The 15,786-nt window shown below is 40.7% G+C and overlaps 2 protein-coding genes across 2 annotated transcripts in view, besides 1 other annotated feature; one reads left to right on the top strand and one right to left on the bottom strand.

The window, feature by feature from the left end:
• The window catches only part of DPF3 (double PHD fingers 3), a 285,068-nt gene that overhangs the window by 258,426 nt on the left and 10,856 nt on the right, over nt 1-15,786 (top strand). Inside the window, exons 9-10 of the mRNA NM_001280542.3 lie at nt 5,940-6,052; nt 15,692-15,773. Of these exons, the coding sequence (NP_001267471.1) occupies nt 5,940-6,052; nt 15,692-15,773 (195 nt within the window). The remainder of the gene's footprint in view (nt 1-5,939; nt 6,053-15,691; nt 15,774-15,786) is intronic.
• The window catches only part of RGS6 (regulator of G protein signaling 6), a 762,695-nt gene continuing 752,555 nt past the window's right edge, over nt 5,647-15,786 (bottom strand). Inside the window, exon 18 of the mRNA XM_017021825.3 lies at nt 5,647-5,696. Within this exon, the coding sequence (XP_016877314.1) occupies nt 5,688-5,696 (9 nt within the window). The 3' untranslated portion in view covers nt 5,647-5,687. The remainder of the gene's footprint in view (nt 5,697-15,786) is intronic.
• Nucleotides 13,750-14,430: an enhancer, noted in NCBI's record as "OCT4-NANOG hESC enhancer chr14:73087954-73088634 (GRCh37/hg19 assembly coordinates)". NCBI's record gives its function as "activates a minimal SCP1, AML or CMV promoter by ChIP-STARR-seq in naive and primed H9 embryonic stem cells {active_cell/tissue: H9 hESC(naive and primed)}" and the evidence as "EXISTENCE:reporter gene assay evidence [ECO:0000049][PMID:30033119]".

Here is a 15,786-nt window from a genome sequence, read left to right as displayed (position 1 = left end):
AGAGGAGGTTGACTAGTAAGTGACTTAGGTTAGCTTTTAAGTTGCAATCATAATGTCAGCTTAATCCACAAGGTATATTTAGATATTTTCTCCCCTAAAAGGCTGGAAATACCCTTGTGTTGGGGCAGTTGTGTATTAGCGTGCATAGAAATTGGCAGCTGTGAATATGAAACTAACACTAGTTTTGCCTGGATATTTATCTGTGTGCCTTCTCACTCAAATACCACAAATCCCATTTGCTGTCCCTTGAACATTTTCAGCATCTGTGCACATGTTTCTGTAAAGACATGAGATGTGTCCTTCCAGTGCCAAGGCTGCTGTCACTGCTCTCAGATGCCTGCCTTTCCTTTTTTACTGAGCTCAGTAGGCTGTAGTGTCAGAAACACCGGGTACTCCCAGCCTCATGGATTATCATCTGTCTGAGAAGTTTCCCATAACCCATTGGTTTCCCTTTCCCTCCATCTGCTGAAATAGCACCCTGAAGCCAAATGCTGATCTCCCAAAAGCCCACTCCAGCAGTTAGATCTCCCATACATAGTGGCCATGGGTGACATACCCAGTGTCAACCTCTAGGGAGGATTGAGGTCAGTTCTGGAAGGGTTAGGGCTGAATCAGGAATGGCTCTTCACACCAAGTTCACCACTGACCCAGCTCAATAAGCTAGCAGGAGATTTACTGAATGCTCCTGATAGAATACATTTAGAGGAACATCCGGGAAGGACTAGGTTTTTAATGATCCGGCTGGGCTGAATCATGCACAGTGCACCATTTTCTAAATTCATTTTGGTAATTGGAATCTTATAAATGCTCTGTTGAATCATGGCACCCAGGGGGGCCTGGGAAGGGTTGTCTTCCCTCCACTATAGTAGGCTATTTAAATAGCAATATGGGTATTTCTTGCTCTAAAGAAAACTGGGGCTATGAAAAAATCTAGATTTCCAAGCAAGTATTAGGTTGGTGCAAAAGTAATTGCAGTACTTGCCATTAATGGCAACAACTGCAATTACTTTTGCACCAGCCTAATACCCTAGAGAATGAGGGTTAACTTTACAAAAGAGATTAAGATAGGGATCCTCAAATATCAAGTGACCATAAGTATTACAAATTACCTTATAGCCATGTGCCTCTTTTTTTCTTTCACCTTTGAATTGGAAAGACCGTATTTGTTATTCTCTTACTTTCAAAGCATTTAGGAATTAGTTCTGGGCAAAAGTAAGACCAGTGAACCTTAGAAACAAGCTGCTATTACTTTCCTTAGACACTTCTTTTTGTCTAACAGTGTGTATTATTGAAGTAATTTTTGTGGCAGGTAAGAAGTCTCATTCTTGCAGTTTTGTCTGGCAAATGATTTCTGCAGTTTTTGGAGAAAGGCGCAGGAGCAAATCTGTTATGGTGGTCCAGACAGGAGGATTTAGTTCTGGGCACAGTTTTTGCACCTGCTGATGACTTAAACTTTTTGTGTCTCACCCTCCCTGGCTGAGAAGTTACAATAGTATTTCCCTCCCCTACTTTCTTCTTGCGCTTGAGTGATGTCCTGAGTGTGGAGGAGAAGGAGTTCCTGCAGCCACTGCTAAGGCCCATCTTAGTCCTGCATTTTGTCGGGGGCTTGAGGCTGTGTGAACTTAGCTCCCTTGCTTCGGGTTTGAAGATCTTCAGGAGGCTGATGACTTTCTCAAGATGGGAACACAGAGAAAGCCATGAGATTGTTTCAGAAACTTCCAACAGGCATTTCCAAAACCCACTTGCTACCATCCATTGTCCAAAGCTATCCCAGAAAATGTCTTCATAGCTCAGCACAGGAGTCTTAGAGAACTAAGACACAGAGCTGGCTCTCGATAAATATTGGTGGAGTGTTGCTACATGCATGCAGCACACGCCACCCCCGGCCCCTCCTCACAGAGACAGCTCAGATGCACATTTGGCTGCTGAGTTCTGTCATGCTCTGGAATGTGCTGACTTTCCTTCCTTGGGAAGATGGCATGACTGAAGCGTGTTATTATTAGTAGGGTAGCTTTTGCCCTGATCTGTCAACATTCCCTCACTCGGGGTCTTTATTGAGCAAGGACAAACTAGAGAACCTGTGGCAGTAAACACAGTTGACCACCTTCTCCTTCTTGAAACCTCTTCTTTTGGTTACTGTGACCCCATACTCACCCGATTTGCTTCTTACCTCTTGCCATGTTTCTCTCTTTCCTTTGCTGGTTCTTTCTTTTGATCTTGGAGGACTTGAGCTCCTCCAAGCTCAGTCCTAGACCCTTTTCTCTATTCTCCTTTCTTCTCTCCTCTTCCTTTCTTTCCCTAGATACTTCCTCATTCCCTTTTCCCTAGATAATTTCATTAATTCTCATGGTTTCACTTATCACCTATTTAGCAAAAACTTCTGAATTTCGACCCATACATTCAACTATCCACTCAACATTTCCACCAGAATTCTCAGTTTCAGCATGCTCAACACAGAAGGAATCCTCTTCCTCTATGTGGTCCCTGCAATCCTTCTACAGTCTTTCTCATCTAAGTTTCACTGTAATCTACAATCTACCTAGTTTCATGGGTCAGAACTTGGGATTATTTCTCATCATTTTCCCATATTCCCAACATTCAAACAATAGTCAAGTCCTGTCAAGTATTTCTTTAACATTTCTCAAATTTCCACCTTAGTTGAATCATTCTTGTATCTCTCCTGGTAGCTGCATTAGCCTCCTAACTAGCTTCCTGGCAACAATTCTTACATTCCTGTACCCTCCCACCCCTCAACAATTCTTTCCTTAGCGTACAGCCCCTTCATCCTTCCTTCCTCCCTTCCCCTCCCCTTCTCTTGTCCTTCCCCCTCCCCTCTCCCTTTCCCCTCCCCTTCCCCTCCCTTCCCCTCCTCTTCCTCTCTCCTTCCCATCCCCTTCCCCTCTTCTCTCCCCTTCCCCTCCCTCCATCCTTCCCTCCTTCCCTTCTTTCCCTTCCTTCCCTTCCTTCCCTTCTGTCCCTTTCATCTCTTCCCTTCTCCTTCCTTCCTTCTTTCCTTCCCTCCCTCCTTCCCTCCCTTCCTCCTGCTTCTTTCCTTCCTTCCTTCCTTTCTTCCTTCCCTCCTTCCTCTCTCTCTCCTTTTTCTTATCTGCCTTCCACCTTCCTTTCTTTTTGATGATTTAATTTTTTATTTGTTTTCCTTATTTAAAAATATATTTTCAACTATTTATTTTGACATAATTATAGCTTCATAGGAAGTTACAAAATATATTACAAAAAGTCCTTGAGCTCGTCACTCAGTTTTCTCCAAGGGCAACATCTTATGTAATTATAGCACAATATCAAAACCAGGCAATTGATATTAATGCAATCATAGACTTTATTCAGATGTGACTAGTTTTACATGTACAAATACATATGTGTATGTGTATGTACAGTTCTATGCAATCTTATCACATATGTAACCACCACAATCAAGATACAGAACCACTTCATCCCAATAGCACTCATGCTAAAGAGTGCTCCTTTAAAAACAAAATGTGACCCACTTACTGCCTTGCTTAATAGCCTTTAATGACTTAAAAAACAGATTCTTAAATAAGGGCTGCAAATGCCTGTAATCCTTCTCCAGCTACCTCTGCAGCTACCTCTTACCCCTTTCCTTTTGCTCATCAAGCCTCTGCTCACTGGCCTTTCTCTTCCTTGTAATTTGCTAAGCTGCTTCACTGCTCAAAGCCTCCACCCATGCTGTTCCCCTTACTTGGAATCCTCCTCTTCCCACCTAGCTAACGTCTCATCTGACACATATCAGCTTAAAGATCTTTCTCAGGGAAGGTTTCCTTGTCATCTCAGTCTAGGTTAGGTTCTTCTATGTGTTTTTACGGCCAATTATGCTTTTCCTTCATGGCACTAATTATACAATTGTAGTTGATAGATACATGTGTAGCTGATTAATCTGAGGCCTCTTTGGCTAGGCTGGAAGGGCTCAAGGTATCTTGCTCATCCCCACTGTGTCTTTTCTGTCTAGCACAATGGCCTGCCTTGTAGGTGCTCAATAAGTACTTCGTAAGTTAATGAATAGTTATCCTAAGCTGGCTGGGTGTGGCTGGGGTGTGGCACAGAACTGGCCAAAGTCAACTTGCCTATATGAGCATCAGCTCCATGACCTCATGTTCATGCTCTCAGTGGTGCCTGGTCAGAGAAACTGGGCATCTGTGGTCATACCACATGGAGTCCCAAACAGATATTTCCTACCCTGTACCCATCCCAGTGTTCTCTCTGAGAGACTGGAATAGGGAGTAACCCTGGCTAATGTTCTTCTTAGACCAATCTTTGAGATGCTTTCAAGAATATCAGCTGGCTGTTCACACAGGCTTTTAATGTAAGGCTTCTTTTTCTTTGGGGCCACTGTGATGGTATCACCTTGAGAGGGTTATTAGTTCAGAGCTGCGGAAGTCTCTAAGTTGGATGGTACCTGAGAAGTCCTTGAAAAGCTTTTAGATCAGGCCTCTCCTTGCTGCTTCTGCCTGTATTCACTGAGTGTCCCCTCCCCACCACCAACAAGTCATTTCTACACCCCTCGCCCTCTCCAAGATAACTCAGCATGGTTTCTATTTGTGGAGCTCAAAATGTGAAGGATCCTTATGTTGGCTGAATAGACAGTATTTCATCCAAATGGTCATGATGTGAACAGCTCTCTGAAGATTTGAAAGGGAGGAAATGGGGGCTCCTGTTAAGATGTGGCTTTGCCAAGGGGTGGTGGCGCCATGGGGGATCCTGTCTGTGGAGGATACTAGGTTGGCGGTGCTAACCATGATTGGTGTCCCCTGTCTCTAGCATCCTTCTTTAAAGCATATAATCCTTCAAATGAAAGAGGCAACACAAGGCACCATATAATGGGTTTGGCAGAACTGGAAGCTCTGGAGAACGGTGAGTGCTCGGCACTGGGCAAAGCTGTCAATGTTTTTTGTGACAGAGTCAGTAATTGGCTTTGCCCTGGGTGTTCTGGGCAGATTCTGATCTGTTTCACAGTACTGGGCGACTTGGGAATGTCATCCAAGTTATCCTTCCATGCCACATAGAAGGCCAAGGGTCTTTGCATTCTACAGTTCATGGCCGTCCTCTCCCTGCAAGCATCTCTCTTTTAGGTGACCTAGGTCTGAGGACAGAGTCCAGTTCCACAGGCCAAGTCTTGGGCATGGCTCACGGGGGCTGTGCTTGAAGGTCACAGCTTAATGTCCCTTCTCTCATCTTGTGATTGGGTTGGCTCCCATGAAACTTGGGATGGAGAAAAGAGTTAGAACCGGGAACCAGTCCTTTTAGGATAGACCTGGCCATTTGCTCTGATGCTCCATTTCTTTGCCATCCCTGCCAGGCCACTTCCTTCTGTAGTCCGTGGTACTGTTCAGGATATGAACTTTTGCTAGTCTCATGAGTGTGGGCATGGATACTTTAGGTAACAGTGCAATGCCTCATCCTATCCCTGAGCACTGACCCTGGAAACCTCATACAATCCTTCTGATAGCCTCCCTTGCACCCTAAGGCAGTGTGAATAACTGGTTGGATCAGAAGGCCCAGCTCCAAATAGTTCTTACCTGTTGTGCTGCCATAGCTGATGCTGGGGCTTGGAGGGTCCCACTGGTGTCTCTCATAGTGCTGCCCCAGGCTGTGTACTCTGCAGTTTCCTCTCTCGTTCTCTCTGATCATTGTTTTCCATCTTCATCAACTGGTTACACCTGCTGGGGAATATGGTCTCAGTGCAAGCAGAATTGGATGTGCTTATATCTCTGTTTTGCCCTTGATCTGAATAACTGGGTGGTGAAGAATGTGGGTAGGGCCCTGTTTGGGTCCCCATTTTTTTCCCTACGTCATGCTACCCTGCCCTGCCTGCACACTGGGCATCAATGTGTTTCCAGTGAGTGGTGTTGAGGGGTGGCAGTTCATACTTTGGCCCTAATGCTGTTGTTTCTGGCTTCCTCCAGGTCACCCAACCTGCCTGCAGTTTACCCTGAACATGACCGAGGCTGTCAAGACCTACAAGTGGCAGTGCATAGAGTGCAAATCCTGTATCCTCTGTGGGACCTCAGAGAATGATGTGAGTTTGGGGCTTTCCCTGTGGGAGGGAGAAATCCACAGAGCTGGGGTCCTTTGAGGGGTGAAGAGGAAGGAAGGACTCTTGTCACTAGGCCCCTGGGGCCTGTTACCCTGGCACTTGGGAGCAACCTGGCCATTAGCCCTTGAGGGCTCAGAGACTGACAGTGGTCAACACTGCTTATGGCAGGGATGTATTTGATTGTTTCCACCACATTCCACAGTATATGATCTCATTTGGTCTAAATGTTAAATATAATAAGTGCAAAATTTTCAAGAACATTTTTTATTATGGGCAATTTCAAACATATACAAAGGCAGAGAGAATAATAGAATTGATGTAAACCATCACCAGCTTCGACAAAGATCAGTACACGTCCAATCTTATTTCATAAATACCATGACCTCCCTCTCCATAGTCTCCGTCATAATATCATTTTTACCTGTAACTACTTCATATGTATCTCAAAAGGATAAGGACTTACTTTTATACCTAAATAACCAAAATATTACATAGCTAAAAAATCAATAATTCCTTAGTACAATCAAACATCCAGTCGTCTCATATTTCCTCAGTTGTCTCATAAATGTTTCTATTACAGCCTGTTTATTTGAATTGGGATTCAAATAAGGCCCATACATTGCAATTAGTTGATATGTCTTTGAAGTTTATTTAAATATCTGTAGGTGCATATAAACTTACATATAGCTTCTTTAAATAACACATAGACTTTTCCCTCCATCTTATTCTCTTTCTTCCTCCCTTAAATTCTTTGTTGAAGAAATCAGATCATTTGTTCAAGTTCTCATGACTGTATTTGACTGAGTATATCTCTGTGCTGTCTGACATTTTCCTCTGTCTCTTGAATTTCTTGTCAATTGTTAGGGCTAGAGGCTTGATTCAGATTGTCTGTCTCTTTTTCTGTGTCTGTCTTTATCTCTCTCTCTCCTCTCACCAACTCTGTCTCCATCTCTCTCTCTCTCTCTCTCTTTTGGCAAGACTACTTCATAGATGGTGGTGTACACTTTCATCAGGATGTATAATGCCTGATGTTTCTCTTTTTGTAAAGGTAGCATCTATTGATGACCTTTGACTGGATTGACTATTTTGTTAGGGGTTGCAAAATAGTGATATTCTTATTGGATAATTTCTTTTTTGTTTATTGCTGGAGTAATTCCAGGAAGATAAACTTGCCCAATCTTTCATTTGGTTACCTTCAGGTGTAGATCATATAGAAATGGCAGGAAAAAAATGCTTGATTCTTTCCCTTTGTCAGTTTTAAAAAAACAGTGTGGTTAAAATATCTATTTATGATAAAAACATTAAAAATAGTGATTGTGGGATATCTTCTTAACATGATAAAGTATTTGTACCTTAGAACTAAAGCCAGTATCTTATTTAATGAGGAAAACACTAGGCACAATTCCACTAAGATTAGGAACCAGGGGAGGATGCTCACTATCTCTATAACTATGATTCGACACTATTCTAGAGACATTACCTAATGCAATTAGACAGGAGAATTTAATTAGAGATGTAAGAATGGATAACAAAGTAATAAAACTCTATTTTTGTATTATATGATAGTATATCTGGAAAACCTTAGAGAATCAATGATAAGCTAACTCAAACATAAAAGGTAACAGATTATAAAACTAACACACATAATTAACAGCCTTCTCATATACAAACAATAACCAGTTAGAGAACATAATTCCATTTATAATAGCAACAAAGAAGAAATACTTAGGGATATATTTAACAACAAATGTGCAAAACCTATATAAACAAAACTTTTAAACACTTTTCAAAAACACAAAGAACAAATTGAAAGGCATCCTATGATCTTGGATAGAATGACTTGACATTATAAAGATGTCAGTTCTTCCTGAGTTAATTTATAAATTTATCTCAGGTCCAATAAAAATATCAACAAACTTTTTTTATGGAGTTAGACAAATCGATACTTAAGTTCATATGAAGAAACAAACATGCAAAAATAGGCAAGAAAATACTGATAAACAAACTGTGATGGAAACTAGCCCTACCAGATATTAAAACATACTGTAAAGCCTCTATAGATAAAACAGTGTGGCACTGATGCATGAGGAGAGAAATAGACCAGCTGAGATAGAATAGAAAGCCCATAAATAGATCCAACTACATATGGAAATACAGTATAGGGTAAGGGTCACATCTAAAATTACTGGGTCAGAGACAGACTTTTAAATGAATGGTGCTGGGACAATGGGGTAGCCATTTGAGAAAAGACAAAATTAGATTTATATCTTACACCATACATAAAAATAATCACCAAATACATTGGGGATCTAAATGTACAAAGTAAAACCACGCTAGTACTAGAAGAAAGCACAAGTAAATTCCTCTTTAATCTAAATACAGGAAAAGGTTTTCAAACTGTGACTCAAAATCCAGAAGCAATTAAATAAAATGTTGGTATATCTGACTACATAAACATTTTGCATAGTCAAAAACATGATAAAGTCAAAAGACAACTGACAAACTGGGAGGAAATTTTGGCAGCATGTACCACAGTTTAAGGGCTAATTCCCTATATAAAAAGAAGTGTTAAAAATTGAGGACAAAGGACCAGAAACCTGATAGGAAATGAGAAAAATACATGAAAGACAACCCACAAAAGATATAAAAATGACCCTTAAAGATGCAAAAAAAAAAAAAAGTTCAAATGCACTCACAAAGAAACTCAAAGCTGAGATATCATTTCTTACTTATCAGATGGGCAAAAGTTGAAAAGTATGACAATATATCCTGTTGATGAAGCTATGGGAAAAATGGTGCCTTCATACATTGTTGGTGGGAATACAAATTAGTACAACCCTGGGGAGGGAAATTTGACAATACCTAACAGAGCTAATATGCACTTAACTTTTGACTAAGCATTCTCACCTACAGGAATCTACCTTGAAGATATACCTGCAACATGATGGAATGCATAAGGTTATTTGTGGTAGCATTGTTCATTACTACAGAATATTGGAAACAACCTAAATATCCATATATGGAAGAGTAGTTGTTGAATAAACAATGGCACAGCCATACAGTGGAGTACTATACAGCTGTAAAAAAGAATAAGGCAGATGTCTATGAATTGATTTGGAGTGATTTCCAGAATATATTAAGTAAAAAAGCAAAGTAAAATAGAATATCTATAGTATGCTGACCTTATTGTAAGAAAAAAGAGACATAAGAAAACCTACATGCATTTGCTCACTTGTGTAAAAGAAATATAAGAAGAATAAACAGGATGCTAATGAGACTGGTTACCTACACGGGTCTGGGAGAATGGGGTAGAGAAAAATGGGAAAATGAAAATGGGATAGTAGGGATAAGGGAGAAACAACACTTCTTTGAGAATACTTTCTTGTATAGCTTTGACTCTTACAACCATCATAAGGTTTTACATACCTCCCAAATAGATAAATACTTAAAATCAACCAAGATGTAGGGAAAAACTAAAATGAAATAAAAACAGTAACAAATAAACAGTATAACGTAAATAGATAATGTAACTATACCGAAGAGTGAGGAAGAAAAGAATAACCTAAGTAACTTTGGAAAACAGTATTTTGACTGTGTGTTGTAAAGCTAAGGACAGAAATAACTGCACCACAAATACTGTACTCTAGTTAATTTATTTTCATAGGTATATGAATTAGTAATTCTGAAACTACGTATGCTAGATTTGAACTAATGACTGTGTATTGTGACTAATGAGAGTCTAGTTTCTCAAAGTCAGAAAAAGAATAACCAAATAAAGGGGGGAAGGCTAGATTGAAGGCATTGGTTTGGAATAGTGGGTATCACTATGAATTCATGATTTTACATACAATGTGTTATATATAGTTTATACATATTATATCTAGCCATATGTGTACACATATATTAATAGACAGAAATAAGTAGAGATGTATGCATGTGTACCTACACATACATTTATTTCCTAGCTGTGTTGGCTGGGAGGGCCTAGAAGCAATGACAACACAGAAGCAATGAAGACACATGGCATCAAGGAATTGGTTTCTAAACACCATTCTCTCATAAAAAGAACCATGGATCCTTAGAGAAATGGCTGATTCCAGGGCTGGGATGCAAAATATGCCAGATAAGCCTGGAGGATTATGTGGTGTCAGAAAGTAAGGAAGTGTTCAAAAAATGAAAGGATATTTTCATGCGTCTAGAGGACACAGGAAGCAACTTGAAGGAACCCGTAATGACCAAATCTAGGAAAACTTGAGCAAAAAAATAATGACATTATTAGGTTATAACCTAAAGAAAAAATAAATATCTATACTAATATAAAAATTGAATAAATAAGTAAACAGAGGAGAAGGTAAGCTCTTCCTTAGAGCAGAATTCCAATGAGTAAATGTAGAGGGAAAGGGGAAATAATCATTGGGCACACTTCACAGTTATGGTTATAAGGACGAACTGTCAATTGATGCTAAAATTAGTGGGCAAAAGTATGATGAGAAGTAGGATATTTACATAATCTCAAATATCCTATTTCTCTTGTTGAGGAGATAATCTCCAAGTATCTCCCCAACAATATTACTTATTAGTATATTACAAAGGGAAAAACAGTAACTTTACAGTGAAAAAAATGGCAGACACTACCTTAACTATATAATCACAGATAACATTACAAGTAATAAGACGTACTGGCCTCAATTTCCCCCGATATGATGCGCCAAGAAGGGCACAACATTACTTTAGTGGTATTCTTGCTAAAAAATGTATGCATATGTGGATCTTATCATGAGAAAAGATCCAACTGAAATTGAGTGACATTTACAAAATCACTGGCTTGGATTTTTTGAAAGTGTCAAGCTCATGAAAGACAAAGAAACTGAGGAACTGTCACAGATTGAAGGATACTGAGAAAACACAACAATTAAATGCAATGAGGGATCTTGGATTGGATCCCTGGTAAAGAGACATAGGTTGGGGGCCGGGCGTGGTGGCTCACGCCTGTAATCCCAGCACTTTGGGAGGCTGAGGCGGGCGGATTACCTGAGGTCAGGCGCTGGAGAACAGCCTGGCCAACTTGGTGAAGCCCTGTCTCTACTAAAAATACAAAAATTAGCCAGGCATGGTGGCACATGCCTGTAATCCCAGTTACTCAGGACGCTGAGGCAGGAGAATTGCTTGAGCCCGGGAGAAGGAGGCTGCAGTGAGCCGAGATGGCACCACTGCACTCCAGTTTGGGCAACAGAGTGAGACTCTGTCTCAGAAAAAAAAAAAAAAAAAAAAAGAGACATAGGTGGGAAAACTGGAGAAATTAAAATAAAGTCTGTAGATTAGTTAACAGTATTACACCAATGGTAATTTTCTGATTTTCGTAATTCTGCTATAGTAATATAATATGTTAATATTAGGGCACAGTGAGTACAATTCTCTGCATAATTTCTGCACTTTTCTCTAAGTTTAAAATTATTTCAAATAAATAAATAAAAATATAGTGTGATGTTTCTCTAGCATCTTCTGAAGGTGACTAAGGTTTTAAAAAATATGTTTATGAACTTAAGATTTTAAACATATTTTATTTGTTATAATCCATTATAGGTAAAATTGTCCCATCTTTGACCAGTGGTAACATATTCAGGTTGGATCCTGAGTCCTTTTGACATAATCCTAATAGTATTTGATAGCTTCCTTACTTTGTAATATGTAAATATATTTATACATTTTATGCTCCAGACCTGGAATCACTTATTTCTCCCAGGACTCCTAATTCCTTTTAGTGGGCAATGGTCTTTAGAGAACATAATATGGGTGCTAGAGGTGCTAATTTTGCTGTTAGTCATTGTTTTGGAGCACTTTCTGTGGACAGAGGTAGAAAATATTTTTTGCTTGTTTTAAAGATACACTACACCATGAATTTATACTGATGCATCCAGTTCATACTTAGAACCAACTACTGACTTTTGACTTAACTTCATTGGCCTACATTTCTATTTTCTTTCAACCATGTTACAAAATCTTGCTCTTCAATAATACCAACATAATTACTCATTTGATGCACATAAAGCAGTCTCAGAATATTGATTCCAATATTTAAACCAATAATATAATTGCTGAACATTACACACACACACACATATATATGCAGATCTGCATTTATGTATGACCTTAAGGTATGTCCTACTAAGGATGTATTGTCAAATTAATTGTTTTATAGTCAGATGGAATAGTTTCTCTCTGTGTGGTTATGCTACCAATTGGATACATAACCAAATTCATTTGCCTCATTTTTCTTTTGTTTTTTTTAGGGACATATTGCTATTTAAATTTTGTTTTATGACTGTGTAAAATATTTATTGGTTCTAAAATCAAATTTATAAAGAAACATTATATTCAAAGAAATGTAGCTCTCTACTTACCTCTTCCACACTATTCCTTCACTCTGCATATAGGCAACCACTAAAAAATATGATTTGTCTTTCCATTTTGTTTAAATGTAAACATGTGTGTGTATATATGAATCCATGAAAAATGGTAACAAGTATATATGTTTTCTCCATCTTGCTTGTTTTCTCTGAATATCTTAGAGATTAATCTGGAGGAATATATAGACATTCTTCATTCCTTCCTACAGCTGCATAATTTTTACTTATCCAACCATTCCCTTATTGATGGACATTTAGGTTGACGCTGGTCTTTGGCTTTACAGATAGTGTAAATGTAGAGGATTTTTTTGTTGACTTGGCAGAGCCTTTGAGGAGGAGTCAGGGGGTGAGGTTGTTGGGGCACTAGGATTCCTCTCACATGGTCAGGGATTTACCCTGGATATCCGAGAATGGGATTCCCATTCTGCTGGAACTGTAGTAATAGGTGATTCCTGGTTCCTGGATAGTTGGTAGTGAGAGGTACTAAAATTGTGTTTGTCATGAGAGTTAGCATAAGCTGGGGGCTCTTGGTGGTGGAAGAGAAGAGAATATGGTGCTAGACAGTGGTCAACCCATGCAAAATGCACTTAAACTCTCAGATGCCTAGTTTTCCTTTGGGAAATTGTAATCCAGGATATTCTACCTATTTGTATTTCCCATGTCACTGCTGTAGTAGGGGTTATTACTGTTTTTAAGGCATTAATAACACTGTTTCTGACAAGTCCTGTCTGTTTTCTGTCTCCATCCTAACTTGTTTCTCCTTGTATTATCCCTAAATCAAATTGTCCTGTAGCTTATGCTGGCTCTGCAATAATGATGTAACTGTTTTGGCGTAAACTACAGTGTGCTCGTCTTCATCCCACCTCTCTGACTGTTCCTTTTCAGTCTTTTTTTCTCTGCCTGTCCTGTAAAGTTGGAGTACCCCAAGTGTACTTCTTCTCAGTAAACTCTTGGCCTTCTTCTCAGTAAACTCTTTTGGGTCCTTGATCTTTCAGAGAATTCAATGAAAGCTACGGACTTACTCTTTCCATAGAAAAATGTACATTTCTACCTATGTACAAAATTGTGTGTATCATTTCAAGGGGTTCATGGACACTTCTCCATGAAGACAAGGTCAAAGACATTTGCTCTCACACATTCTGGGCTTCCTCTCCTAGGACCTTCACTTGCCATCTAATTACAATGAATCCCAAGTCCATATCTCAGGCCCAGACTTCTCTCCTGCTCTCTTCAACAGCCTCCAGGTCATCCCTATCTGTAGAACATGTCTATAGCTGAGGTTGCCCTCTCCCTCCCATGAGTCTGCTCTTCCTCCCATGTCCCATTGGGTGGCTGTATCATCTGGCTTGCTGACCAAGCCACAACCCAGACGGCATCCTTGGCTTCTTCCCTATCACTCTCCCCATCTAATCAATGATGCTTAAATGGGAGCAAGACCCATTTCTTTCTCCATGCCGCAATTGTAATTCAGGCCACCATCATCACGCACCTGGATAGCTATAGCAGCTTCCTAACTGGTCCCCGGGCCTCTTGAATGAACCTCTCCCCCACTGGGTATCTACTCTTACATAGCAGCTAGTAAGATCTTTCTAAACTGCAATCTGATCGTATCACTCCCCTGTTGATAACTCTTCAAAAGCTTTCCTGTTGCCCCACTGACGGGTTTTAGCATGACAAAAAAAGCCCTCATTGCTTGCTCCCTGGGGATTCCAACAGCTATATCTAATTTTATCCAGGATTTCTGCACTGGTGGGGGCCAAGGTGAGATTTGATATAAAACTTTATTTTGAAAAAGGCTCATAAGCCATCCAAACAGTTTCAACAATCACCAAATAGAACAGAGCTGAAACTAGGGGGTGGGGCCAGATCACAAACAGTTTCCGAGCAGCTCCTGTATGCAAGGAAGTCTCTACAGTGGATGCAGTGATGAGGAAAACAAGATTTTGCCCCCAAGGGCTTTATAGTCCATAAAGGGGATAAAGGGTGGAAAAAAGAGGCATGTTCCAAATGAACTATTCAAGAAAACAAACATGTAGATGTCTTTTTTTTTTTTTTTTTGAGACAGAGTCTCACTCAGTTGCCCAGGCTGGAGTGCAGTGGTGCGATCTTGGCTCACTGCAACCTCCACCTCCCGGGTTCAAGAGATTCTCCTGCCTCAGCCTCCTGAGTAGCTGGGATTACAGGTGCACGCCACCATGCCTGGCTAATTTTTGTATTGTTAGTAGAGATGGGGTTTCACCATGTTGGCCAAGCTGGTCTCGAACTCCAGACCTCAAGTGAACCACGCGCCTTGGCCTCCCTAAGTGCTGGGATTACAGGCATGCGCCACAGCGCCCAGCCAAGAAAACAAACGTGATTAGATGTCTACCACATGCCAGGCATGTAACGTAAAGGAAAATGCATTTAAATGTCACAGAAAGGGAAAGTACCACAGGGCTGCACGAGGGAAGAGACAACTTCCAGTTGAGGTAGATTAGCAAAGACTTTGTGGAAAAGAAGTGCTTGAAGAAGACGTACTTGAAGGGCAGGCAGGGAATGGACATGCAGAGAAAGGGTCAGGGCCTGGGAGAGCCTCCAGGCAGAAGTAGCCATAGGTGCAAAGATATGGCCTGTGTCCTTTGAAGTTAACCACAACCCTGGGGTGCCCTGCTCTCACCCGGGCTCCAGCCTCCAGACAGTGAGGAAGCTTCTGGAAGCCGAGGGATGGCGCTACTTGCATTTTTCTACATTCTAATGAAACCCTGAAGAGGTTCTGAGGTTCATCCCAGTACAGCTGTTGGCCATTTCACAGATGGAGAGAGTGGAGTCCAGAAGAATTCAATTAAGATCTTCAAATATATAAAGTCATGGAGAATAGAGACATTTTCTGCCCTTTGGAAGCAGAGCTATTGGCTTTGGAAGTTCAGAAGAATAAGGGATCCCTTTAAATTTGGATGTGAGGTGTTAGTCACAGAAGGCGTCTTGGAGGAGGTACGAGTTGAGCAGAACCCTAAAATGGGGGTAGGATTTATATAGGCTGGGAGGTAGAGGGGGAAACTCCAGTTGTGGGAAAAGCACAGGCGTGTTCAGGGGACAGTGAGGACTCCAAGTGGGGCCTGGAAAGGGGATCCAGTGAGACCGACGTGGAAATAAGGCTGATGGGTAAGCGGGGGCCAGACATTGGCCCCGAATAATGGAATCTCTCCTCCTCTGTGCTTACTCTGTGTTCCACCAGGACCAGCTACTCTTCTGCGATGACTGTGACCGAGGCTATCACATGTACTGTTTAAATCCCCCGGTGGCTGAGCCCCCAGAAGGTAATGATGATGA

Source organism: Homo sapiens, chromosome 14, assembly GCF_000001405.40.
Source record: "Homo sapiens chromosome 14, GRCh38.p14 Primary Assembly".
Lineage (NCBI taxonomy): Eukaryota > Metazoa > Chordata > Mammalia > Primates > Hominidae > Homo > Homo sapiens.
Note: the sequence above shows the minus strand (reverse complement) of the source record. Positions and strands in the feature narration are given on the sequence as shown.